Source organism: Homo sapiens, chromosome 3 (genome assembly GCF_000001405.40).
Source record: "Homo sapiens chromosome 3, GRCh38.p14 Primary Assembly".
NCBI classification, from domain to species: Eukaryota; Metazoa; Chordata; class Mammalia; order Primates; family Hominidae; genus Homo; species Homo sapiens.
In genome coordinates, this window is record NC_000003.12 from 32,439,505 (window position 1) to 32,465,146 (window position 25,642).

At 45.9% G+C, this 25,642-nt stretch overlaps 1 protein-coding gene across 2 annotated transcripts in view, besides 6 other annotated features; it reads left to right on the forward strand.

Moving 5' to 3' along the window:
* CMTM7 (CKLF like MARVEL transmembrane domain containing 7) overlaps positions 1-16,024 on the forward strand; it is a 63,676-nt gene extending 47,652 nt beyond the window's left edge. Inside the window, exons 2-5 of one of the 2 annotated variants that reach the window (NM_138410.4) lie at positions 2,336-2,509; positions 9,950-10,048; positions 12,888-12,969; positions 14,737-16,024. In NM_138410.4, coding sequence (NP_612419.1) covers positions 2,336-2,509; positions 9,950-10,048; positions 12,888-12,969; positions 14,737-14,750 — 369 coding nt within the window. In that variant the 3' untranslated portion in view covers positions 14,751-16,024. The remainder of the gene's footprint in view (positions 1-2,335; positions 2,510-9,949; positions 10,049-12,887; positions 12,970-14,736) is intronic. The other variant, NM_181472.3, reaches the window with a different exon arrangement.
* Positions 4,053-4,347: a silencer, noted in NCBI's record as "tiled region #14110; K562 Repressive non-DNase unmatched - State 22:ReprW". NCBI's record gives its function as "represses a minimal TATA promoter and a strong SV40 promoter by Sharpr-MPRA in K562 cells {active_cell/tissue: K562}" and the evidence as "EXISTENCE:reporter gene assay evidence [ECO:0000049][PMID:27701403]".
* Positions 14,226-14,726: an enhancer, noted in NCBI's record as "H3K27ac hESC enhancer chr3:32495222-32495722 (GRCh37/hg19 assembly coordinates)". NCBI's record gives its function as "activates a minimal SCP1, AML or CMV promoter by ChIP-STARR-seq in primed H9 embryonic stem cells {active_cell/tissue: H9 hESC(primed)}" and the evidence as "EXISTENCE:reporter gene assay evidence [ECO:0000049][PMID:30033119]".
* Positions 16,373-16,442: a silencer, noted in NCBI's record as "silent region_14170". NCBI's record gives its function as "represses an Ori minimal core promoter by ATAC-STARR-seq in GM12878 lymphoblastoid cells {active_cell/tissue: GM12878}" and the evidence as "EXISTENCE:reporter gene assay evidence [ECO:0000049][PMID:35858748]".
* Positions 18,705-18,914: an enhancer, noted in NCBI's record as "active region_19637". NCBI's record gives its function as "activates an Ori minimal core promoter by ATAC-STARR-seq in GM12878 lymphoblastoid cells {active_cell/tissue: GM12878}" and the evidence as "EXISTENCE:reporter gene assay evidence [ECO:0000049][PMID:35858748]".
* Positions 20,511-21,221: an enhancer, noted in NCBI's record as "OCT4-NANOG-H3K27ac-H3K4me1 hESC enhancer chr3:32501507-32502217 (GRCh37/hg19 assembly coordinates)". NCBI's record gives its function as "activates a minimal SCP1, AML or CMV promoter by ChIP-STARR-seq in primed H9 embryonic stem cells {active_cell/tissue: H9 hESC(primed)}" and the evidence as "EXISTENCE:reporter gene assay evidence [ECO:0000049][PMID:30033119]".
* Positions 21,613-21,907: a silencer, noted in NCBI's record as "tiled region #13101; HepG2 Repressive non-DNase unmatched - State 23:Low, and K562 Repressive DNase matched - State 9:DNaseU". NCBI's record gives its function as "represses a minimal TATA promoter and a strong SV40 promoter by Sharpr-MPRA in HepG2 and K562 cells {active_cell/tissue: HepG2 | K562}" and the evidence as "EXISTENCE:reporter gene assay evidence [ECO:0000049][PMID:27701403]".

Sequence of the window (25,642 nt, forward strand, 5' to 3'; positions counted from 1 at the left end):
GTGCAGTGACGTGATAATAGCTCACTGCAACCTCAACCTCCTAGGCTCAATTGATCCTCCCACCTCAGCCTCCCAAGTTGCTGAGACCACAGGTGCATGCCACCACGCCCAGCTAGTTTTTGTATTTTTTGTAGAGACAGGGTCTTGCTTGTTGCCCAGGCTGGTCTCAAACTCCTGGCTTCAGGTGATCCACCCGCCTTGGCCTCCCAAAGTGCTGGGATTGCAGGCGTGAGCCTGGGATGCCAGGCATGCACCAGGCCCCATTTTGTGATTTAATTCTCATTGTAGACTGACATTTTCTATAGCAGAATTTTTCAACAGTAGTACTGTAGTTGAGGGGCCACATTTGGGGCTGGAGATGGGTAACTCTTTACTATGGGAGCTCTCCTATTTATTGCAGGGTGCTTAGCAGCACCCTGGGCCTCTACCCACTAAATGCCAGTAGCAACCCCCATCCCCGCAAATTGTGTAAACCAAAAATATATACACACATTGCCAAATGTCCCATAGGACACAAAATCATATACCCATACGCTAACACACCCATACACTAACACCACACGCATACACACACACACACACACACACACACACACACACACTTTAAGACTCGCTGCTCTGGCCAGGCGTGGTGGCTCACACCTGTAATCACAGCACTTTGGGGAGCTGGGGCAGGCAGATTACTTGAGTTCAGGAGTTTAAGACCAGTCTGGCCAACATGGTGGAACCCCCTCTCTACTAAAAATGCAAAAATTAGCTGGGCATGGTGGTGCATACCTGTAGTCCCAGCTACTCTGGAGGCTGAGGCAAGAGAATCGCTTGAATCTCGTAGGCAGAGTTGCAGTGAGCCAAGATCATGCTACTGCACTCCAGCCTGGGCAACAGAGTGAGACTCCATCTCAAAAAAAAAAGAATCACTCCTCCATAGGAGAGAGGCAGTGTATAAAATAATCTTTTTTCTAAATTGGTTGTGCATTTTAAATAGATTCCTGGCTGGAAACAATGGCTTACGTCCATAATCCCAGCACTTTGGGAGGCCAAGGCAGGGGGATTGCTTGAGCTCAGGAGTTTGAAACCAGCCTGGGCCACATGGCAAAACCCCGTCTCTACTACAAATATGAAAATTAGCCAGGCATGATGGCACACGCCTGTAATCCTAGCTACTTGAGAAGCTAAGGTGGGAGGATGACTTGAGCCCAGGAAGCAGAGGTTGCAGTGAGCTGAGATTGGTTCACTGCACTCCTGCCTGGGGAACAGAGCCAGACTCTATCTCAGAAAAACAAAAACTAAATAACTAAATAAATAAGTAGATTCTAAGATTTTACACACATTGAATCCCGTGTGTTACTGGTTTGTTCCCTACATGGAGTAGACAGGTTTTCTCTTTGGCCTTCACGGAAGCTCAGACTGTTACTCATTCTACTTTCTTGTACTCATGCATTGCTAATAGTTTTCATCTGGTTATTAATTCAGTAGCAGGCCGTTAAGCATGTTCACTCGTGCTGAGATATTTCTTAGTGAGCTCTCACCACATGCCCTGATGGTGAGCAGCCTCACCTCTTAAACAGGATTCCTGCATGGTTGAGAACCCGTCCACCTTTCTCGGCTTGTTATGATCAGAGCTTACACTTTTGGGAGGTAGAACTGCATCTGACATGGAGGAACATGGTCCTTAGAGTCAGACAGACCTGGATTCAAATCCCACTTCTGCTTACAAGCCAGATAGCCTTGGACTGATGATTGAACCTGCATGCCTCCGTTTCCCCTTATGAACATGGGGATGATTTTGTCTACCTGGCAGGGTTCTGCATGGCCTTAGCGAGATCACGTATGTCAGACATCAGTAAATGGTAACTTGTTATCTGTCAGTTGATAGCTGTAAGGTATGAATTACCATCTTTGTAGGTCAAAAACCATCAAATATTGGCAACTTCGTACAATTGGGCCTAATATGTAAACCCCAGGTCACCATCACGCTGTCCTCTTTGCTCTATGGATATCCAGCAGATGAAAGGGATGGTTCTGCTTTGTTATTTTCTTGTTTTCCTGCTTCTTCTGAGGGGGCTTCCCGCTGGCACAATCTAACAAACTTCAGAGAGGACGAAGTCAGTCTCTGCTGTCATCAGTGTTCACAGACAGTAGTTTCAAAGTGTGTACCACATGAAGTTGCAGTCTTCCAACCTTCCAGCCAGTGTGTATGGAAATAACCTGAATTGTATTAATAGCAGTTCTTCAATGTGGGCCTGCTGGGGGATGCTTGGTTGTTTTCCGTTGTTTGTTCCCTGGGTGCCCGTCTTGGGCAAGCATTTCTCTGATGTCTCTATTTATGTGGCAGGTCACCCTGCTGATTGCCTTCATCTGTGTGCGGAGCTCCCTGTGGACCAACTACAGCGCCTACAGCTACTTTGAAGTGGTCACCATTTGCGACTTGATAATGATCCTCGCCTTTTACCTGGTCCACCTCTTCCGCTTCTACCGCGTGCTCACCTGTATCAGCTGGCCCCTGTCGGTAAGAGAGTGGTCTGGCCCTGTCCTCCGCATGCACAAGTCAGGATGTTAGCTAGAGTACTGAGACCTGACAGAGTTTTTCCCGTCTGCCCATCTCACCTCTTTAACCATTCTTTGCTGCCTCTGCCCTGAATTTCCTATTGTTTGGTGGACATCTCTGCTTGATGTCCTGCTGGTTTTTAAAACTCACTTTCCAGCTACAAGAAGGCTGTGGCTGGCCGGGCGCGGTGGCTCACGCTGGTAATCCCAGCACTTTGGGAGGCTGAGGCGGGCGGATCACGAGGTCAGGAGTTCGAGACCACGGTGAAACCCCGTCTCTACTAAAAAATACAAAAAATCAGCCGGGCGTGGTGGCGGGTGCCTGTAGTCCCAGCTACTCAGAGAGGCTGAGGCAGGAGAATGGCGTGAACCCGGGAGGCGGAGCTTGCAGTGAGCCGAGATCGAGCCACTGCACTCCAGCCTGGGTGACAGAGCGAGACTCCTCTCAAAAAAAAAAAAAAAAAAAAAAAAAAAAAGAAGAAGGCTGTGGCTATTGCCCCATGCTTACTTTCTCAAGCAACAGAGAATGGCTGTGTGTGTATGAGTTGGGAAAAGGAACACGGAAGGAAATTGTAGGTGAAGATGATGGGTATTGATGCTGTTGTGAGGATTGAATGATAGGATTTTCTGGCTAAAAGAGACTAGTGGGGGCTGAGGAGACAGTCAGAAGTTGCCAGACTTTTTCTTCCCACTGTATTATTTTTTAAAGCTTCATTGAGATGCAGTTCATATGCCGTATTGTTCACCCATTTCAAGGGTACAATTCAATGGAGTTTAGTATATTTCCAGAGTTGTCCAACCATTACTACAGTCAACTTGAGAACATTTTCATCATTTCAGAAAGAAATTCCATACCTTTTAGCTGTCACCTCCCTACCACTCATCCCTCCAGTCCTAAGCAATCACTAATCTTCTGTCTCTAAAATTTTTCTACTCTGAACGTCTCATGTAAATGGAATTGTATATGTGGTCTTTTGTAACTGGCATCTTTCACTTAGCTGAATGTTTTCATGGTTCATCCATGTTGTAGCAGGTATCAGTATTTCATTCCTTTTTTTCTTTTTAGAGACAGGGTCTCACTCTGTCACCCAGGCTAGAGTGCAGTGACGTGATCGCGACTCACTGCAGCCTCAACCTCCCAGGCTCAGGTGATCTTCCCACCTCAGCCTCCCGAGTAGCTGAGACTACAGGTGCATGCCACCACACCTGGATAATTTTTGTGTTTTTTTTTTTACAGAGATGAGGTTTCATTGTGTTGCCCAGGCTGGTTTCAAACTCCTGGCCTTAAGCAATCCTCCCACTTTGGCCTCCCAAAGTGCTGGGATTACAGACATGAGCCACCATGCCAGCCTTTTTATAACCAAATTTTATTCCATTGTGTGGATAGACCAGACTGCATTTTGTTTTTCATTCATCTTCAGTGGACCTTTGGGTTGTTTTTACCTTTTGGCTATTATGAATAATGCTGCTATGAGCATTCATATACAAGTTTTTTGTGTGGACATATTTTCATTTTTCTCTGGTATGTATCTAGGAGGGGAATTACTGAGTCATATGGTCACTTTGTGTTTAATTGTTTGAGGAACCGCCAGACTGTATGCCAAAGTGGCTCACTGTTTTACATTCCCACCAGGAGTGTATGAAGGTTCCAGTTTCACAACATCTTTGCCAACACTTATTATCTGACTTTCTGATTCCAGCCATTCTAGTGAGTGTAAAGTGTTATTTCCTGTGGTTTTGATTTTCATTTCTCCAGTGACTAATGATGTTAATCATCTTTTCATGTGCTTTTGGCCATTTGTATATTTTCTTTGAAGAAATGTCTATTCGAGTCCTTTGCCTATTTTTTAATTAGGTTATTTGTCTTTTCATTATTGAGTTGTGAGAATTCCTTCTATAGTCTGGATAAAAGTCCCTTATCAGCTATATGACTTGAAAATATTTTCTCCCATTCTGATGTTTTTCACTTTTTTGATGGTGTCCTTTAAAGCACAAGTTTTTAATTTTGATAAATTTAGTTTATTTATTTTTTTTCTTTTTTAGCTCACGCTTTTCTTACATATAAGAAGCCATTTCCAAATTCAGATTGTGAAAATTTACTTCTATGTTTTCTTCCAAGAGTTTTATAGTTTTAGTTTATACATTTAGGTATTTGATCCATTTTGAGTTAATGTTTTTTGCATAGGGTGTGAGGTAAGGGTTCAATTTCATTCTATTGCATGTAGATATCCAATTATCCCAGCATCATATGTTGAAAAGACTATTCTTTCCCCCATTGAATGGCATTGGCACCCTTGTTGAAATCAGTTGACCATTAAATACATGGATTTAGTTCTGGACTCTCAATTCTATTCCATTGATCTATGTGTCTGTCGTTATGCCATTATCACACTATTTTGATTACTGTAGCCTTGTAGTAAGTTGTAAAACTAGCAAATATGCAGCCTCCCAATTATTCTTCTTTTTTAGGATTGATTTGGATCGTTACAATTCCATGTGAATTTTAGAATCGGGTTTTCAATTTCTACAAAAATCAGCTGGGATTATAATAGGAATTATGTTGAATCCATAGATCAATTTGGAGAATATTGCTATCCTAATAATATTGTCTTATCCATGAACATGGGAAGTTTTTCCATTTTTTTAGATAATCTGTTATTTCTTTCAATGTTTTGTAGTTTTCAGAGTAAAAGTGTTTTTTGTTTGTTGCTTTGTTTGAAACAGGTTCTTGCTCTGTTACCCAGGCTGGAGTGCAGTGGCAAGATCATAGCTCCCTGCATCCTCAAACTCCTGGGCTCAAGCAATCCTCTTGCCTCAGCCTCCCAAAATGCTGGGACTACAGGCATGAGCCACTGTGCCTGGCCTGAACTTTTTAAATTAAATTTGTGTCTGAGCATTTTATTCTTTTTGATGCTATTTTAAATCAATTTTTTTCTTAATTTTATTTCCAGATTGTTCATTGCAAGTGCATAGGAATCCAATTACTTTTTGCATATTGATTTGTGTCCTCAACTGTGCTGAACTACTTAGTAGTTCTAATATATTTTTCTAATATATTTTTAGTGGATTCCATAGGATATTCTGTAAACATGATCTGCAAATAGAGATATTTTTACTTCTTCCTTTATAATCTGGATGCCATTTATTTCATTGTCTTGCCTTATTGCAAGAAATTAGTTGACTAAATTAGACAAATATTGAATAGAAATGGCAGAGCAGCCATCATTATCTTTTTCCTCATGTTAGGAGGAAAGCATTCCTTCTTTCATCATTAAATATAACATTGGGTGTGAGTGTTTTGTAGAAGCCCTTTATCAAGTTGAAGTTCCCTTCTAGCATTACTTTGTTGAGTGTTTTTATCATAAAAGAGTATTAGATTTTGTCAAATGCTTTTTCCGTATCTACTGAGGTGATGAGTTTTTCTCCCATTATTAGTATGGTGTCTTACATTGTTTTTTGTTTTTTTTGTTTTGTTTTTTTAGACAGGATCTTGGTCTATCATCCAGGCTGGAGTGCAGTGGTATAATTATGGCTCACTGCAGCCTTTATTTCTCAGGCTCAAGCGATCCTCCCACCTCAGCCTCTTGAGTAGCTGGGACCACAAGTGTGCACCACCATGCCTGGCTAATTTTTTTTTTGTTTTTGGTAGAGATAAGGTCTCCCTATGTTGCCCAGGCTGGTCTTGAACTCTTGGGCTCAAGTGATCCTCCTTCCTCGGCCTCTGAAAGTGTGGCGATTACAGGCATGAGCCCCCACACCTGGCCTGGTTTGTTTGTATATGTTGGGCCAACCTTGCATTCCTGGGGTAAATTCCATTTGGCCATAATGTATAACCCATTTTATATGCTGGTATATTCAGTTTGCTAATATTTTGTTGAGGATTTTTTGCATCTGTATTTAAAAGAGATATTGGTCTGTAGTTCTCTTTTTTTCTGATGTCCATCTGGTTCTGGTATCAAGTTAATACTGGCCTCACAGAATAATTTAGGAAATATTCCCTCCTTTTTTATCTTTTGAAAGAGTTTGTGCAGAATTGGTATTAATTATTCCTTAACTATTTGGTAGAATTTAGCAGTGACACTGGGTCTCAGCTTTTCTTGTGGGTAATTTTTTTTATTGTTAATTCGAACTCTAATTTTACCATCTTTTCAGATTGCATCATTTATTCTGGAGTCAATTTTAGTAGTATATATGTCTAGGAATTTGTCCATTTCATCTAAGTCATTGAATTTATTGGCATGCAATTGTTTATTGTATTTCTTACATTCTTTTTATTTCTGTAAGTGCAGTAGTAATGTTTCCTCTTTCGTTTGCATCTTCTCTCTCTCTTTCTCTTTGATCAATCTAGCTGAAGATTTGTCAATCTTGTTGATCTTTTCAAGAACCAGCTTTTGGTTTCATTGATTTTTTTATTGTTTTCCTATTATCTTAATAAATGTTGCTTTAATCTTTATTTTTTTTCTTTCCTCTTCTTGCCTTAGGTTTAGTTTGATCTTCTTTTCCTAGTGTCTTAATGTATAATATAGTTTGGATATCTGTCCCCTCCAAATCTCATGTTAAAATTTGATTCCCAGTGTTGGAGGTGGGGCCTAGTGGGAGGTGTTTGGATCATGGGGGCAGATCCCTTGTGAATGACTTGGTGCTGTTCTAGTGGTAATAAGTGAGTTCTTGCTCTGTTAGTTCCCATGAGAACTGATTATTAAAGAGAGGCTGGCACCTTCCTCCCCTCTCTCTTGCTTCCTTCCTCTTGGCTGTGTGATGCCTGCTCACCTTCACCTTTGCTTCAGAAAGTAGAAGCTCCCTGAAGCCCTCACCAGAAGCAGATACAGGTGCCATGCTTCTTGTACAGCCTACAGAACCATGAGGCAAATAAACCTCTTTTCTTTATTTGTTGCCCAGCCTTGGGTATTCCTTTATTAAAACAACGCAAAACAGACTAAGATGATGTGGAAGGTCATCATCTAATTTGAGACCTTCCTTCTCCTTTAATATTGGCATTTACAGCTATAAATCTCCCTCTGATAACTGTTTTACTTGTATTCCATAATTTTGGTATATTGTGTCTTCATTTTCATACATCTCCAGGTATTTTCTGATTTCTCTTATGATTTTTTTTCTTTGATCCATTCATTATTTAGGAATATGTTGTTTAATCTCTATATATTTCCCTGATTTCCCTCTGCTCTTGATTTCTAATTTGATTCCATTGTGTTCAGAGAACATATTTTGTAGTCCTTCTTACCTTTATTGAAGTTTGTTTTATGGTCTGATATATCGTCTATCCTGGACAATGTTCTGTGTACATCTGAGAAGAATGTACTTTTATACATTGTATATTTGTATATTATACTTTTGCTGGATAGAGTTTTTATAGAGGATTTTTAGGTCTAGTCATTTTATGGTGTTGTTTGAATCTTCTATTTCCTTGTTGACCTTCTACCTGGTTGTTCTATACATTGCTGAAAGTAGGGATATTGAATTCTCCAACTATTATTTTTGAATTGTCTGTTTTTCTCCTTCATTTTTCTCATTTTTCACTTCATGTGTTTTGGCTCTTTTATTAGGTGCATATACGTTTATAATTGTTATATCTTACTTACGGATTCAGCTTTTCATTGTTATAAAATGTCCCTCTTTATTTCTAGTAACTTTTTTTTGTGTTCGATTCTATTTTGTCTGATGCAGTGTAGACACCCTGGCTTTCTTTTGGTTGTTGTTTGCGTGCCATTTCCTTATCTTTGAATATAAAGTCTCTCTCCCATAGACAGCACATACTGTAGTTATTTCTCGTTTTGCTTTGGTTTTTTAATCCAATCTGACCACCTCTGCATCTTGATTAGATTGTTTAATTGTTCACACTTAACACTATTACCCACTGTTATTTTGAGAGAAATTTCTTTTGTGTTTCTAAGTTCTAAGGCCCCTTTCAAAGTTATGGCATTTTTTTCTGCTTCTTTTGAGAACAAATTCCTCTGGGGCTTACCTGATGCAGATACTGAACAAGCAAAGGAGAGAACAAAAGCTCAGGGACAAGCACAAGAGTGGGCTGCATGAGGAGTGAAAGTTGGAAGGACAGACTCAGCCACACATTTTTGGCTGAGATACTATTTAAGTACTTCCGGTTAGGATTCTCTCAAGTTGGTTTTCTCTGCCCCATGTCATCCTCCTCTGTCTTAATAGTTGAGAATCTTGGAGGTGGGGAACTTGCAGTTACTCATCTGTTCTTCAGTTAAAATCTCTGTGATCTATCTTGTGATATTCCTTTCTAGTCACTAAGGGAGAAACCAGGGTCTTTGATTTTACATAGCTTTGAGAGGAGCTACAGCTTTAAATTGGAATGCTTTTCCAAAATTTAATAGCTGCCTGCCCTAAGGGGCAGAACTTCATGAAGGAATGATTTCTAGATTCTCATTGAAGACAACTGAAAATGGATGCACCCTGGATTCAGAGCAAGCACTGGAAGTGGCCCCCAGCCTCAGTTCTTCTCGGATCTGATGTTTAATGGGGAAGAGAAAGGGTGAGATGGAAGCTTTCCCTCGCCACTGAAAGGCCCATCTCATCCAGGGCCTGCAAGGATGCTGATTAATCATGATGAGTGAGTGGGGTGGAAATGCATGGCCCATGGGCCAAGGCGAGAAGCAAAGGTGGAACCAGTCCTGCCAGTGGATTCATTGGCAGAGCTTGGCCGGGAGGGCACTCTTCTGGAGAAAAGAGAAGAGGGAATGACAGGAAAAAAAAAAAAAAAGGCAGGAAGGCTCAGGAGTGAGAAAGCCAGCTGCCACCACACATCCACAGGCACTTCACAGAAGTGCCACTGACCTCATTCTAGAGTCTGAGTCTGACGGGACCCTGGGAATGAATACCTCTCAAGTCCACACTTGGGGCCATTCACAGAGTGGGCTGACACTCCCATCAGTCACACAAGACCAGCACATTGTTAGCCCAGAACTTTCTCCGAAGCAGAAGAGAAAGGCAAATATCTCTTTAAGGTACTTTGCTTCTCCGAGCTGGAGCTTTGTTTAAACTCTCCAGCCGGGAAGTTGCAAGAAGCTCGTTTGCTTTTTAGTAGCTTTAGCCAGAGGTTAAGGCACTGTCCACAGATTGCTCTCAGGAGTAGAGGAGTCCTTAGTGGCTATCTCTGCTCACACCAGAAGCTTCCTTTCTCTCTGTCCTCTTCCCTTCCTGCCTGCCCGGCATCACTTCTGTCTTGCTTGGCCTCTTCCTGGTCAGCCCGCATGTTGGCTGCCTGCGAGCGGCTCTGCTCATCCCATTTGCGTGTTGCAAGGGAGAAGAGGAAGCGTCACTCTCTCCCTTTCTTTTCATGTCTTCTGATGCCCAGTTGCTCTTCCCGGACCAGAAATGGACGGCCCTACCCACTTATTTGCTTTGTTTCTGCCCCCAGGAACTTCTGCACTATTTAATCGGTACCCTGCTCCTCCTCATCGCCTCCATTGTGGCAGCTTCCAAGAGTTACAACCAGAGCGGACTGGTAGCCGGAGCGGTGAGGATGTTTTGGGGAGCCTTTAGGAATGAATTCTTATTTAAAATGCTCATTTTCTTCCTGATGGGGGAAGAGAAGGGCTTGGTTTCTGGGGCATTCCCTTCATAGAATCAATACCTACCTTGATCCAGCCATCAGCTCTCTCCAAAGAGCCTTAAGCAGAGGCGTACAGTCCCAGAAGGTGGATTGTCAGGGCTGCCAGCAAATTCATAGACCCCAGCAGCCCAGGCCTCTCTCTCTTACAGGCACTACTGAAATCAGGGGGCCAGGCGGGTTTTAATTCACACACCCACTCTGATCATTTGCTCGTTGGCTGCCTCAGCACTATGCAGAGACAGATGCTGGAGCCTCTTTTGGGCCCAGTGGGAAATGTACTGTGATCAATTAGAGATACATGCCATGAGCCTGAGCTTTGCCATTCCTGATTTTTAACAGTATTCAGGCCAGGAAATAATACTCCTGTATCTTTCAGAGGCAAAAATTGATCCATCTGATAGCCATAAATAGAAGTAGATGGAAATATACAAAAATACAGTCCTGTGAGATATATACATACATATATATGTATATACATACAGATGTATATGCTATTTTTTTAAAGATTCATAGATTCCTGTCATCTGATTTCTGATTTAGCTAACTATTTATAGTTCAGTGGCCTGTGGGCCAACACTGATTTGCTTCACTGATGAGCAGACAAGATTTTAAAAATGAGTTTTGAGAAAAGCTCTCTCAAGCCAGATGTGGTAGCTAGCATGCACCTGTAGTCCCAGGCACTCGGCAGGAATGCTTGTGCCCAGGAGTTCGGTCTGGCCTGGGCAACGTACTGAGACCCTGTGTCTTAAAAAAAGAAAAAGAGAAAAAGAAAAGCTCTCTCTGTATGTGACATTCATTGTCTTTCACTTACGTATATTACCAAAATTTTCCAGACTTTGGCCTGGGAGTGGGTTGGCTCCTGGAATTCCACTGAGGGATGGAGTCTCTCCTCTGAAGGTCAGCATGGGGGCAGAAGGTCACTGTAGAGGGTGGCCAAACCTCCCAACACTGATGCTCCACATGGCCCTCCCACAGCCCACCATCACACCTCTCTGCCCCCTCTCTCTGCTGTCTCTGAAGAGAGGGATGGTTGCCCCCTGAAGCTTAACACCTGCCCAGCTACAGTGCAGGGTACTGGAAGAGGCACACAGGAGACCTGTGCCCACTGTGTTTCCGGGCCCACTTGAGGAGATTCCCACTGTGTTTAGTAATTCAGGTTGCACATAACTGTTTAGCCCTGGAATCTCTATAGCTAACATTCATCATATGCTGTCTGTGTGCCTAGGACCAAACCTGGGCTATGAGGAAGTTAGAAGAAATTTTTAAAATATGGTCCCTGCTTATAAGAAAGTGGTCATCTAGCTTAGGAGACAAGACACATGAAACAATTAGTAAACAAGGCGTTGTAGTCTAGAATAGCATTCTGTAGCGATATAATAAACTGTTCAATTATGCAGTGCAGACAGTTGGGGACCGGGATGGTATATAACGTGCTAATTGTGCAGAACAGACAATGAGAGGCCGGGACAGGCTCTAATAGGCTAATTATGTGCTGTAGACAATTGGTACAAAAGGAGCCCAGGAAAAGAAACCCGGGGAAGAAGTGGATGTGGGCTGGTGGGGGCAGCTGTTTATGTAAAGCAGCATCTGGGCTTGAAAAGAAAACCAAACCTTGTTGAAAATCCTACCCTTAGCTGCCCCTGCGCCATTCTCACTGGACACCAGTGGCGGTGTAGTGAAGTGGAGGCCTTTGTGTGGGTCTGAGAACACCTAGGCACCCGGTACTGCAGAGTGCGGACTCTGGAGCCAGGCTCCCTGGGCTCCCATCCCATATCTGGCCCTTGCTGGCTCTGTGGCCTTCGGCAAAACAGATGACCGCCTGTACCTCTGTTTCTTTAGCTGTGAAATGGAGGAGCAGGGTGGGTAATCCTAGCACCCACCCAGCAGAGTTGTGAGGGTTAAAGGAATCAATACACCCACAGGGCCTCACACCCTGGTAGGGATGTAGTAAAGTGGTCAGTAAGTTTTCACCACTGCAGCTGCCGGTGTTGTTCACAAGCAAGGAAAATGGCTGCAGGCTTCAAAGCCCAGAGATTCCAGAAGAAGCTACTGCCTCTTCCTCGACCATTTGATGAGCCTCCCACAGGCACTCTTCGTCTCCCAGCACCCGAATCTCATCTACAAGTGAGGGGGCTGGGCTAGGTCAGCCTTCCTCACACTTGAGCGCTGGATGACCCTGAGAAAGGGAAAGGGTGCTGCCTTGACTTAGTTGAGTCTAATATTGTTTAATATGTACAAACGTAAACCTAGATGTAAAGGCCTCGGCTTCTGGCTCTAATACGGCTATGAAGCCAGAATGGAACAGAAAGTCATTACAAATGAAATGCGAACAACGCCACTACACCACAAATCATGGGAACGTTCAGATTTTTTTAACCCAAATTAAAATTTCATCCTTTTCTTCTCTTTTGGTCCAGGATAATCAAAGTCCATTGGCTTAGCCCCAGCTTGCTTGTAAATGTAAACCCAGACCAGGCACTGAAGCTGCCAAGAGTGAAGACCGAGAGGCCTGGCTGCCAGCCCTGACCTGGCCCAACCTGGAGGACTGGGGCCAGTGGCTGGGCCTCGCGGGGCTTCCTCTCTGCACCTGATCCAGGATGAGGTGGTTGGGTTAGATGACTCTCCAAGCTCCTTTCTGGCCAGAGACATGAAGGGAACAAGCACAGAGATGAGAAGCAGACAGGATTGCCCGAGTAATTAGCCCTATGGCCTGTGAACTTCCTCTCCCCTCTCTCCACTGCAGATCTTTGGTTTCATGGCCACCTTCCTCTGCATGGCAAGCATATGGCTGTCCTATAAGATCTCGTGTGTAACCCAGTCCACAGGTGAGTTCTGGTTATCTGTGCACAGAGGATCTCTCAGGAACAGGGGGATGGCTTGTTCTTGACTTCAGCCATAGGGACAAACCCTGCTGTTGAGAAGGCTGTGTTCCAAGGGGACTTTAGAAGTAGTATTAGAGCACAGGGGCCAGCAAAGGGGAAGATGTGACCCCAGAATCTCCCCTCACATTCCCATCTCCACACATCCAAGGATGCCCTAACATTTCAGCCTCGGGTGGCCAAGCTTTTTTCTCTTTCTTGCTTCCTTTCTTTCTTTTTCTTTACTTTTCTTTTTTTTTTTTTGAGATTGGGTTTTGCCCTGTTGTCCAGGCTGGTGCAGTGGTACGATCAGAGCTCACTGCAGCCTCCGCCTCCCAGGCTCAAGTGATCCTCCAACCTCAGCCTCCTGAGTACCTGGGACTACAGGTGTGCACCACCATGCCTAATTTCAATTTTTTTTTTTTTTTTTTTTTTTTTTTTTTTTTTAGAGTTGGAGTCTCACCATGTTGCCCAGGCTGGTCTCAAACTCCTGGGCTCAAGCAGTCCTCCCACCTCAGCCTCTGAAAGTGCTGGGATTATAGACATGAACCACCGCACCCAGCCAGCTTTTTCTTAAGTTTCCTAATGACAAAAATAAAATGTAGGTTTTTAGAAAATACAGATAAAAAATATGTTTAATAGAAACCGTCTGAACCAGGGACAGTGGTGTGTACCCATAGTACCAGCTACTCAGGTGGCTGAGGCAAGAGGATCACCTGAGCCCAGGAGTTTGAGACCAATCTGAGCAACATAGTCAGACTCCGTCTCTTAAAAAATAAAATAAAATAAGAAAAAGCCATCTGTCATCACACTACCCAGAAGTAGCACTGAGTATCCTTTCGATATTTTCTCTCTGAAAATATATATATCTGTTGCTTTTATTAAAAGGATCAAACTTCATGTGCTGTTTCATAATATGTTTTTTCTCCTACTTAGCCACTGACCAAACATTTTCCCAACATCATTAGGAATTCTTAGCAACTCCGTGGGTTGCAGCATTAAGTCCATCGCATGACTGTGCAGTTTATTTAACTTGCCTCCTCTTTGAGGGCATTACTCATGGAATCCTACACTGAGCCCATGTAGTGTAGGATTCCACTAATAAGAATCGTCTAGAGCAGGCAGATTCATAGAGACACAAGGTAGACCCATGGCGGCCTGGGGCTGCTGGGAGAGGACTCAGGTGTGACTGCTAATGAGGATGAGGCTTCTTTTTGAGGTGATGAAAAGGCTCTAAAATTGTGGTTGCACAGTCCTGTGAATATACTGAAAAACACTTTAGATGGGAGAATTGTATGGTATGTGAATTATTAAAATATCCCAGTAAAGCTGTTTAAGAAAAAAAAGAATGATTTTTAAACGTAGAGAATATAGGGGAAAAGAGAAGTTAATAGGTGGTGTCTAACAGGATAAATCTATAAATATTGGTATAAATTGGTTTTTTGAATTATGGAAGAATCACCAAAAGAAATGGCTAAAAGGCTTGGGAGGTTGCTGCTGAGGAGTAAGACTGAGGTCGGGGGAGTGCGGATGGGAGTCACCTCTGCACTACCGAAGTTTTTTCCTTGTTTGGAAATGTATTTTTAAAAAATGGAATAATCTCAGTGCAAGTCGGCACTGGGTGGAGGACACAGGTGCCCCCCTGAGCAGAACTTGGAGTCAAACCTGTGGAGTGTGGCTTGTGGGTGGGCCACATCCCTGGCAAGCTGTCCTGACTGCCATTTCCTTCCCAAGATGCAGCCGTCTGATGAGGCCACAACCCCTAGGCCCCTCAGGAGCTTTGCAGAGAGGAGGACGTGTACTCCAGGCGAGGCCTCTGGACCTGTGTTCCTGTGCCAAAGTCCTGTCAGGCTGGTGGGCACCAGGAAAGGCCTGCACCCTCTTCCTGCTCTCCCAGGAAGCCAGCTCCCTGAGCTCCTGAGCCAGCCGGAAACTCTTCCTCCAGCCTTCCGGGGAGAACATCCCTCCCATTCTGGGAAAGGAAAGCAGCCTCCAGGGAAATGTTTTCTGCCTTCCTGCTTCTAGAACCACCTCAGGTACTGATGAACCCCACTTAGCACAGCTGAAGGGGTTTGTGAATACTCCCGCCTAAATCCCTTCTACTTCACTCCTCAGGGGAGTGAAGTGCCTTAAGAAACAAAGCCCTGTCCTAATTTATCTAGCTTGTCAGTCCGGTCTTAGAGATACCCTCTTTCCTGAAGTGAGGCGTGCCTGTAGAAACACTATGTGGTCAGCCTGTCCCCAAGGAGATCTTGTGTCTCCTCTCCATCTCTGCCTTTGTTACCAGTGTGCATGTGTTTGTGTGTTTTTTAATAAAATATTGACTCGGCCAGTTGCACAAGGATTTCTTATTGAACCAGATGAAGGCTGTAAAACCTGGCCTGAAACAGTTTCCATTCGAGCTTGTGTCTGGCCCATGGCCCTCCACCCGTGCTCTGTGTGTGCCCCTTGCTGAACTGCTGGACTTCAGGTTTTCTCTCCATCTTGGGGGATAGTATAGCAGGGCAGAGTTTTAGGTAAACATGTGCAGGTTCTCAATTATATTCACGTCCTCCTTCTCCTGCAATACCAATCTTCTCATTTTGGAAAGAGCTTTAGAGCAAGCTAAGGGTTGTGTTTACACTATGATGATTAATGATCTCGGCCTAAATGTGCTGTTTCGCTGATCTTGAGCTGCTCAGTTGGCTAGAAAAAGGAGGGATGGAACAATGTTTGAGCAACCCCGTGTGCAAGGACCTACATTCACAACCACATCTAATAGCGATGGTAGTGACTGCAAGGGGGCAGGTTATAGGACCACATTTTTAGAAATGAAATCGGGGCTCCATCCCCAGGCACAGGGCAAGCCAGTGAGGAGCTGGGCTCAGGATCTAGGTCTGCCTGACTCCCAGCCCCATCCTTGCCTCTGCTGAGTGTTGCCGGAAATGGAAGCAGCCCCTGTGGGCTTTGAGCTGGAGCTCTGGGGCTACTCTTGTGGCTGCTGGCCAGCTCGGGGCATCGGGTTCTGTCTGGGATGATCTAAGGAAGCAGCACCCGTGGTGTATCTGGAGCCGAGTGCTGCTGATGGGAGGGGATCCTGTGTACCAGCTGGGCTGGAGCGGGAACATGGCTGAGCTGACCCTGGCACAGTCGGCTCCTCCAGGGCAATGGAATGGAGGAGTCTCAGCTGAGGAGGGCACGGTCCAGGTGAGGCATTGGGTCTGGGAGCCCCCTGCCTGTGTAGTGACAATGCAGGCCTCGCCAAGCAACGAGGATCCGGGTTTGACCATTTGAGCATCCCCCTAGGAGGGCAAAGGTGGGTGGAGGACAGTTGGAGGAATAGTAGCAGGAGCCAGAGTCTGCTCAGTGAGGAAGGAAAGCAAAACGCAGAGCCAAGTGAGGCCTCCACAGACAGCGAGCAGTGGACCATGCAGCCAGTGGCTTGGCTGAGGGGTGGCTGTTTGAGACCACAGGGCCTTTTTAGAAACTGGGGTTTCTGTGACCTCCCAAAAACTGTCTGGTAAAACCATCCCTTCTAAATGGCCACATCTCCAGCACCAGGGAGTAAATGTTTAAGCAAAGAGCTAAGGATGGTGGAAAGACAGTCAGGCTGGGAGCCGCAGACGTGGGGTTGAGCCCAGCTCTGCCATTGACTAGCCCCCGACTTGGCACGGGTCATCTTGCTGAACCTTAGTTCCCCCTTTGTATAACGGAGAGAATAAGCCCATCCTGGCCTGTCTGTGACCTCCTTGGAATTCAGTAACAGAGCAGCGTGCTTACTTATCGTTATCTTTCTAATCTTAATCCCCAGAGAGGTACCAGAATGACAGGAAATGAGCAGGTTAATGTTGCAAAAGTGATCGAATCACCTGGGTGCAAGGGAGCTGGAGAACATAATTTACTTTCAGTTTCCTGGACCTTAAATTTTGTTAAAGTCAAGATTGGAAGCTGAGGGCAGTTTTCAGCCGGGCGCTGGGACCCATGGTGGACAGAGGGCATGATGAAACACCTGTAGGGAACTGGGTGGGTGAACGCATCCCCAGCAGCCGGCTCTGAGCTGAGTCGTGGGGGTCCTCCCTGCCAGAGGCCCACTAACCTCGTCTAACCTGGTGAAGGGGACACTGGCTTTTCACTTTTGAAGTATGACAATGACCTTCAGATCCTCTGCTTCTCCAGTTCTTTTAGCCCCAGTGGCGCCCCAGCCACTCAGGTACGTTCTAGAAGCAGGGCCAGCACCTTTGAGCCCCAGTCATCTTGGCAACCTCTGCACACAGCTGGCTCTCCATTGGCAATTGAGGATGCTGTTGACAGTAGGGAGAAGGAGACCCTCTGGTTTCCCTATGGTGACTCACTCCTCCTGGACACAGCTTCAACCCTAGGGAGTGAATATCTAAGCCGGGGGGCAGTGCCATTCAGCTGCCCCATGGAGGACCAGCCCCTAAACCCAGGCATTAACTCATCACAGTGCAGCACGGCCTGGGGAAGCCGACCAGCCTTCCTCCAAGAAATTGAGATGCAATAGGTCTGAAATGAGAGCCAGGAATTCCTAAGCCTTGTCCACAAAGTGGATATCACCTGGCAGCTGGTTAGAATTGCAGGATCCCAGCCCCACAAAGACCAACTAAAATAGAATCATCTGCATCATAACCGAGTCCCAGTGGTGTGTGTGCATTGCAGTATTTGTGAGACACTGTTGGAATCAAAGATGCTGTAAAGTGGGTGCAACTCTGAGGCTGATTTCACCAAAGGGGGAAGGAGATGAGAAATGGTGTCAGTTGGCGGGTTTCTGAAGCAAACCCTACTTCTCACTGGATCCACAGCTGCATTGGAAGAAAGATTCCTTTTAAGAAGTAGTTAATGGGCCGGGCGCGGTGGCTCATGCCCGTAATCCTAGCACTTTGCGAGGCCTAGGTAGGTGGATCACCTGAGGTCAGGAGTTCCAGACCAGCCTGGCCAACATGGCGAAACCTCTTCTCTACTAAATACAAAAAATTAGCTGGGCGTGATGGCATATGCCTGTAATCCCAGCTACTTGGGAGGCTGAGGCAGAAGAATCACTTGAACCCGGGAGGCGGAGGTTGCAGTGAGCCGAGATTGCGGCGCCATCGCACTCCAGCCTGGGCAACAAGAGCAAAACTCCATCTCAGGAAAAAAAAAAAAAAAAAAAAAGAAGTAGTAGCTAATGGATGATGGATGCTGGGCTTAGTACCTAGGTGATGGGTTAATCTGTGCAGCAAACCACCATGGCACACGTTTACCTATGATGTGCATCCTTCACATGGACCCCGGAACTTAAAATAAAAGTTGATTAAAAAAATTTAAAAAGCACCTCCACTGCCTCCTGTCTTGGCATTTTCGAATTCCTGACCCTTCCCATATTCTGGCTTCAGCCCTCAGAGACCCTTGCCCCTCTGGGCACTGTGGGGACCCAGAGGCAGAGCAGAGGGTGTGGGGAACCTCATAGTCCCTGGATCCTGGGAGCTTTCGAGGAAGGCTGGCCAGAGCTCTGGGGCCTGGGGTGAGGCACATACAGCCACACTCTAGCCCCAGGGGACAGGTGAGAAAATAACGTGCTCCACTCCCCTCCCACTGAGGCCAGATATCGCAGAGCTTTGTGAACTAGGAAGAGGGAGCTCACTGGAAGGAGGGTGACTGTACTCCTGCTGCCCCAGGGAGGAGCAGCTGCGGAAATGAAGGGGCTGCTTCATGCTACCTGGGGGAACCCCTGAGTTTCTGTGCCCCACTGGAGTTAAGAAGAGTAGAGTTTGAAGAAGATACTGATCTCGAGATTTCCGTGTTTTGTACTGTTTGTACAATACGTAAAGCACTACTCAAAAGCAATACAGACAGCCTTAAAGAGGAAGGAAGTTCTGCCACATGGTATGATACAGATGAAACCCGAGGACATTATGCCAAGTGAAATAAGCCAGACATGGACAGACAGATACTGCGTGATTCCACTTACAGGAGGTACCTAGGGTGGTCAAAATCACGGAGACAAAATCTAGAAGGGCGGTTGCCAGGGCCAGGGGAAGGGGGAATGGGAGTTATTATTTAATGGGTACAGTTTCAGTTTGGGAAGATGAAAAATTCTGGAGATGGATGGCCATGGTGGTTCTGCAACAGTATGAATGAATGCACTTAATGCTACTGAACTGTACATCTAAAAATAGTTAAGATGGTCAATTTTATTTATTTTACCATAATTTTTTTTTTTCTTGAGACGGAGTCTTGCTCTGTCACCCAGGCTGGAGTGCAGTGGCGCGATCTAGGCTCACTGCAAGCTTTGCCTCCCAGGTTCAAGCCATTCTCCTGCCTCAGCCTCCTGAGTAGCTGGGACTACAGGCACCTGCCACCACGCCCAACTAATTTTTTTTGTATTTTTAGTAGAGACGGGGTTTCACCATGTTAGCCAGGATGGTCTCGATCTCCTGACCTCGTGATCCACGCGCCTCGGCTTCCCAAAGTGCTGGGATTACAGGCGTGAGCCACCGCGCCTGGCCACCATAATTTTTTAAAAAGCAATTCAGGGCCAGGTTCAGCAGTTCATGCCTATAATCTCAGCACTTTGCGGGGCTGAGGCAGGCAGATCACCTGAGGTCGGGAGTTCAAGACCAGCCTGGCCAACATGGTGAAACCCCATCTGTACTAAAAACACAAAAATTAACTGGGCATGGTGGCGCACGCCTGTAGTCCCAGCTACTCAGGAGGCTGAGGCACGAGAATTCCTTGATCCTGGGAGGTGGAGGTTGCAGTAAGCCAAGATCACAGCACCACACTCCAGCCTGGACAACAGAGCAAGATTCTGTCTAAAAAAAAAAAAAAAGAAAAAAAAGAAAAGAAAAAGTCAATTCAGGACCTATGTCTAGGCACCTCAGTAGCTGAAAGAGCAAAAATTACACCAACCCAAAATGGCAACCCACAGCCCAACAGTGGCCACCCCATGTTCTAACAGCTAAGCATTATGGGTCCTGGAGAACACAGCTGTAGGGTATGTTTGTCTTCTCTAATCCAGGCTCTCTGGGAGCTGTTCAACCCAGGGGCCTTGTGGAACCCAAACTGTGTACCCACCACCCCTGCTCCCAGAGCAGTTACAGCCAGGTGGATCCAAGCAAAGATGTGAGAGGAGGGAAGGATGCACCCATGGGGGAGGAGCAGGGAGCCAGGGGAGCCATCCTGGCAACCTGAGGCCCCAGGAAAGGGTGTTGGCACCGGTGGCCGCAAGGGGCACTGGGAGATGAGGCCGACGGCCATCTGCTCACATCCCCCACCACAACCAGCCCGTTCCCTGGCCTTGCTCTTGGGGAGGTAGGGAGGAAGGCTGAGGGGGGGTGCCATCCCTTGGGCACACCTCTGCCAGGTTTTCTCATTACCCACAAGAGTGGCAGAAAACTGTTGCTCAGCCAGGCTCTGGAAGACTACAGCATCTGTGGGGTTTTCTGTAATAGGGAGGCCCGTGGCAATAGAACCCCCAATCTTTGAGGACAGTGTAGCGGGGAGACCGGAGGAGAAAGCCAAGTGGAAGGGAGATTAGTGATGGAGCCCGGTGAAGACGCCCAGGCCTGGCTGTCTTCTGGGCGTGGCCTAGGACCACCCCACTGCGGGCTGCTGGGATGACAGGGCAGGGCCAGAGCTGGATGTCTGCAGACGGACCCAGAGGGAGAACAAGTGTGTTCCTGAAGGAGGCCCCCTTAACCCCGGCCTGAGGCACCCCCTGTGCCACTGCCCTGTGCTGAGCTCAGCCTGGCTTCCAGCCAGGCCACTGAAGAGGCCCCAGGTAGGGGAAGACAGACCCAGAGCTGGCCCATTCTCTGGGCCACCCACCTGCAAGCCTCTACACTAGCATGAAAAGCAAACTTCTGTTGCCATGGAAACACAGCAGGTCTTTGGGGCCCCTCCTCAGCAACCACCACTTCCCTCCTTTGTGGCAGTTTCTGAACTGCATCCTGTGAACTCTCAGAGGTGCTTCAGACTCACAGATACCCGATTTTATGAGTAAAATATATGCAAACACTTAAAACACTCTCCAGCCTTCAATAGCAAACACGGACACTGGGAGCCCCTCGGCCTCCATGCCGTCTGCCCAGGGTAACTCAGCTCGTGCAGCCGCCGTCAGTGCAAGGCCACCCAGAGTGTGAAGCAAGCTGCTAAAAACCCCGCCACCACCTCACTGGGCAAGCCTGGGCTCCTCCATCCTGCGCAACCCAGATGCAGCAGCAGAACAAATCTGACCGTGAAGCTGCAGCTGCAGTTATCTCCTTACTTATCCAAATTGTGGGCTTTCCAAATTAATCCCATTGTTCCTATGCACTGACTTTATAATAAGTAAATGTTATCAATGTAAATTAGTCATTGATATTCATACCATATTTCCCATTTGACATAATGGAGTTTCATGCATAATTTAGATTGAAAAGGGGGATTTCTCTCCTGAAAAAAAAGTGTGGAAACTTTCATGAGTGTCCGTGTGAAGAGACCACCAAACAGGCTTTGTGTGAGCAATAAAGCTTTTAATCACCTGAGTGCAGGCGGGCTGAGTCCGAAAAGAGTCAGCAAAGGGAGATAGGGGTGGGGCCGTTTTATAAGATTTGGGTAGTTAAAGGAAAATTACAGTCAAAGGGGGGTTGTTCTCTGATGGGCAGGAGTGGGGGTCACAAGGTGCTCAGTAGGGGAGCTTTTGAGCCAGGATGAGCCAGGAGAAGGAATTTCTCAAGATAATGTCATCAGTTAAGGCAGGAACAGGCCGTTTTCACTTTTGCGGTGGAATGTCATCAGTTAAGGCAGGAACAGGCCATTTTCACTTTTGTGGTGGAATGTCATCAGTTAAGGCAGGAACTGGCCATCTGGGATATGATGGCTTAGCTTGGGCTCAGAGGCCTGACATTCCTGTCTTCTTATATTAATAAGAAAAATAAAACGAAATAGTGGTAAAGTGTTGGGATGGCGAAAATTTTGGGGGATGGTATGGAGAGATAATGGGCTGCTTCGAGCGGGATTAGGGGTGGTGTGGGGACCTAGAGTGGGAGAGATTAAGCTGAAGGAAGATTTTGTGGTAAGGGGCGATATTGTGGGACTGTTAGAAGAAACATTTGTCATTTAGAATTATTGGTGATGGCCTGGATACAGTTTTGTATGAATTGGAAAACTAAACAGAATAAGAGAAGGAGAAAAACAGGTATTAAAGGTCTAAGAATTGGGAGGACCTAGGACATTTAATTAGAGAGTGCCTAAAGAGATTCAGCATAGTCCTGCCAGCAAAGATTATTTATTTACTTTAAGAGTTAAGAGTGGCAGTTTGGGGATAGCACCAGGAGATATCAGCTGTGATGGCTTGGAGAAACAGTGTAAACTGCCAGTGTAAACAAGAGCAGGGCATGTATGAGTAGTTGAGAACGGTGAATAGGAGTATGACTAGACAGAACATAGTAGGGATGACAAGTTTTTTGGGGCACAGTCTAAGTTGGTCTGGTGTCTGGAATGAGACTGGGGCCTAATAAAAAGGAGCGTCTAAACAGGAGCTTAAATGGGCTGTACTTTGTAGCATTCCGAGGACAAGCCTGAATTCTGAGAAGGGAAAGTGGTAAAAGTATGGTCTAGTCTTTTTTAAGTTGGTGGCTGAGCTTGGTGAGGTGTGTTTTTAAAAGACCTTTAGTCCGTTTACCTTTCCTGAAGACTGAGGACTGTAAGGGAGATAAAGGTTTCACTGAATACTAAGAGCCTGAAAAAATGCTTGGCTGATTTGACTAATAAAGGCCGGTCTGCTATCGGACTGTATAGAGGTGGGAAGGCTAAACCAAGGAATTATGTCTGACAGAAAGGAAGAAATGACCGCAGTGGCCTTCTCAGACCTTGTAGGAAAGGCCTCTACATATCCAGTGAAAGTGTCTACCTAGACTAAGAGATACTTTCGTTTTCTGACTCGGGGCATGTGAGTAAAGTCAACTTGCCAGTCCTGGGCAGGGACAAATCCTTGAGCTTGATGTGTAGGGAAGGGAGGGGGCCTGAACAATCCCTGAGGGGTAGTAGAATAGCAGATGGAACACTGAGAAGTGATCTCCTTGAGGATAGATTTCCAGGATGGAAAGGAAATGAGAGGTTCTAAGAGACGGGCTAGCGGCTTGTAACCTACATGGAAGAGGTTATGAAATGACGACAGAATAGAATGGGCCTGTGAGGCTGGAAGGAGATATTTTCCTTGGTCTAAGAACTATTTGCCTTGTGTGGGAAGAGATTGATAGGTGGAAGTTTCAGCAGGGGAGTAGGTGGGAGTGACTGAGGGGAAGGAGAAAAAGTGAAAGTGAGGGATATAAGTTGGAATGCTAGCTGCTTTTTTAGCTATCTTATCAGCATAAGCATTGTCCTGAGCGATGGGATCTGATGCCCTTTGATGGCCTTTGCAGTGAATGACTCTAGCTTCCTTTGGAAGTAAAGCAGCTTTGAGAAGCATTTTTATTAAAGAGGCATTAATGATAGAGGACATTTGTGTAGTGAGGAAACCTCTTGCATGGAGGTGCAGGATATGGAAGGCATATTTAGAGTCAGTATAAATATTGACATTTAGTCCTTTTGCAGGAGTGAGGGCTTGACTTAAGGCAATGAGTTCGGCTTGCTGAGAGGTAGTGGAGGGGGAAAGAGCGGTAGCCTCAATGATAGATGTGGAAGATACTATAGCATAGCCTGCCTTTGCTGGTGAGTGGAGATTAGGCTTGGTGGAACTGCCATCAATAAGCTAAGTGTGTTCAGGGTGAGGAACATGAAAGAAAGAAATGTGGGGAAATGGGGTGAACGTCAGGTGGATCAGAGAGAGGCAGTCATGAGGGTCAGGTGTGGTATCCGGAATAATGTGGGAGACTCAACAAAGAGTGAGTACAGCTGAAGGAGCCGGGAAGCAGACAGTATATGTGTCAGGTGTGAGGAAGAAAATAGATTTTGGAAGTTATGAGAACTGTAGAGAGTGAGTTGAGCATAGTTTGTGATTTTAAGGGCCTCTAAAAGTATTAGGGCAGTGGTAGCCGCCATACGCAGACTTGAGGGCTAGGCTAAAACAGTAAGGTCAAGTTGTTTGGATAAAAAGGCTACAGGGTGCGGTCCTGGTCCTTGTGTAAGAATTCTGACCGCACTAAGCATGCCTAGGAAGGAAAGGAGTTGTTGTTTTGTAAGGGATTGAGGTTTGGGAGATTAGTCAGATACGATCAGCAGGGAGAGCACGTGTGTTTTTATGAGAATTATGCCCAGATAGGTAACAGATGGGGATGAAATTTGGGCTTGACTGAAGTAATGGGACCTGTCTGTGAAGCCTTGCGGCAGTACAGCCCAGGTAATTTGCTGAGCCTAATGAGTGTCAGGGTCAGTCCAAGTGAAAGCGAAGAGAGGCTGGGATGAAGGGTGCAAAGGAATAGTAAAGAAAGCGTGTTTGAGATCCAGAACAGAATAATGGGTAGTAGAGGGAGATATTGAGGATAGGAGAGTATATGGGTTTGGCACCACAGGATGGGTAGGCAAAACAATTTGGTTGATAAGGCTCAGATCCTGAACTAACCTGTAAGGCTTGTCTGGTTCGAGGACAGGTGAAATGGGGGAATTGTAAGTAGAGTTTATAGGCTTTAAAAGGCCATGCTGTAGCAGGCGAGTGATAACAGGCTTTAATCTTTTTAAAGCATGCTGTGGGATGGGATATTGGCATTGAGCGGGGTAAGGGTGATTAGGTTTTAATGAGATGGTAAGGGGTCCATGATCGGTCACCAAGGAGGGAGTAGAGGTATATTATACTTGTGGGTTAAGGTGGGGGGATACAAGAGGAGGACGCAAAGGAGGCTTTGGATTGGGAAGAAGGGCAGCAATGAGATGTAGCCTTAGTCCAGGAATAGTCAGGGAAGCAGATAGTTTAGTTAAAGTGTCTCGGCCTAATAAGGGAACTGGGCAGGTGGGGATAACTAAAAAGGAGTGCTTAAAAGAGTATTGTCTAAGTTGGCACCAGATTTGAGGAGTTTTAAGAGGTTTAGAAGCTTGACTGTCAATACCTACAACAGTTATGGAGGCAAGAGAAACAGGCCCTTGAAAAGAAGGTAATGTGGAGTGGGTAGCCTCCGTATTAAGAAGGGGACGGACTTACTCTCCACTGTGAGAGTTACTTAGAGCGTCTGTGATGGTCCTGTAAGCTTCTGAGGCAATCAGGCGGTGTCAGTCTTCAGCTGCTAAGCCGAGAAGATCTGGGAAGGAGTCAGAGAGCCTTCAGCCAGAGTTCCAGGGGCTCTGGGAGTGGCTGCCAGGTGAGTTGAACAGTCCGATTTCCAGTGGGGTCCTGCACAGATGGGACACGGCTTAGGAGGAATCCTGGGCTGCGGGCATTCCTTGGCCTGGTGGCCAGATTTCTGGCACTTGTAGCAAGCTCCTGGGGGAGGCAGTTCTGGATGTACACCTAGCCACTGCGGTTCAGGCGTTTGGAAGTTCTTGTGTGCTGGAGATGTGGCTGGAGTTTGTCTCACAGTGGAGGCAAGGAATTGCAACTCGGAAATATGTTGCTACTTGGCTGCCTCTACTCTATTATTGTACACCTTGAAGGCAAGGTTAAGTAAGTCCTGTTGTGGGGTTTGAGGGCCGGAATTTAATTTTTGGAGCTTTATTTAATGTTGGGAGCAGATTGGGTAATACAATGTATATT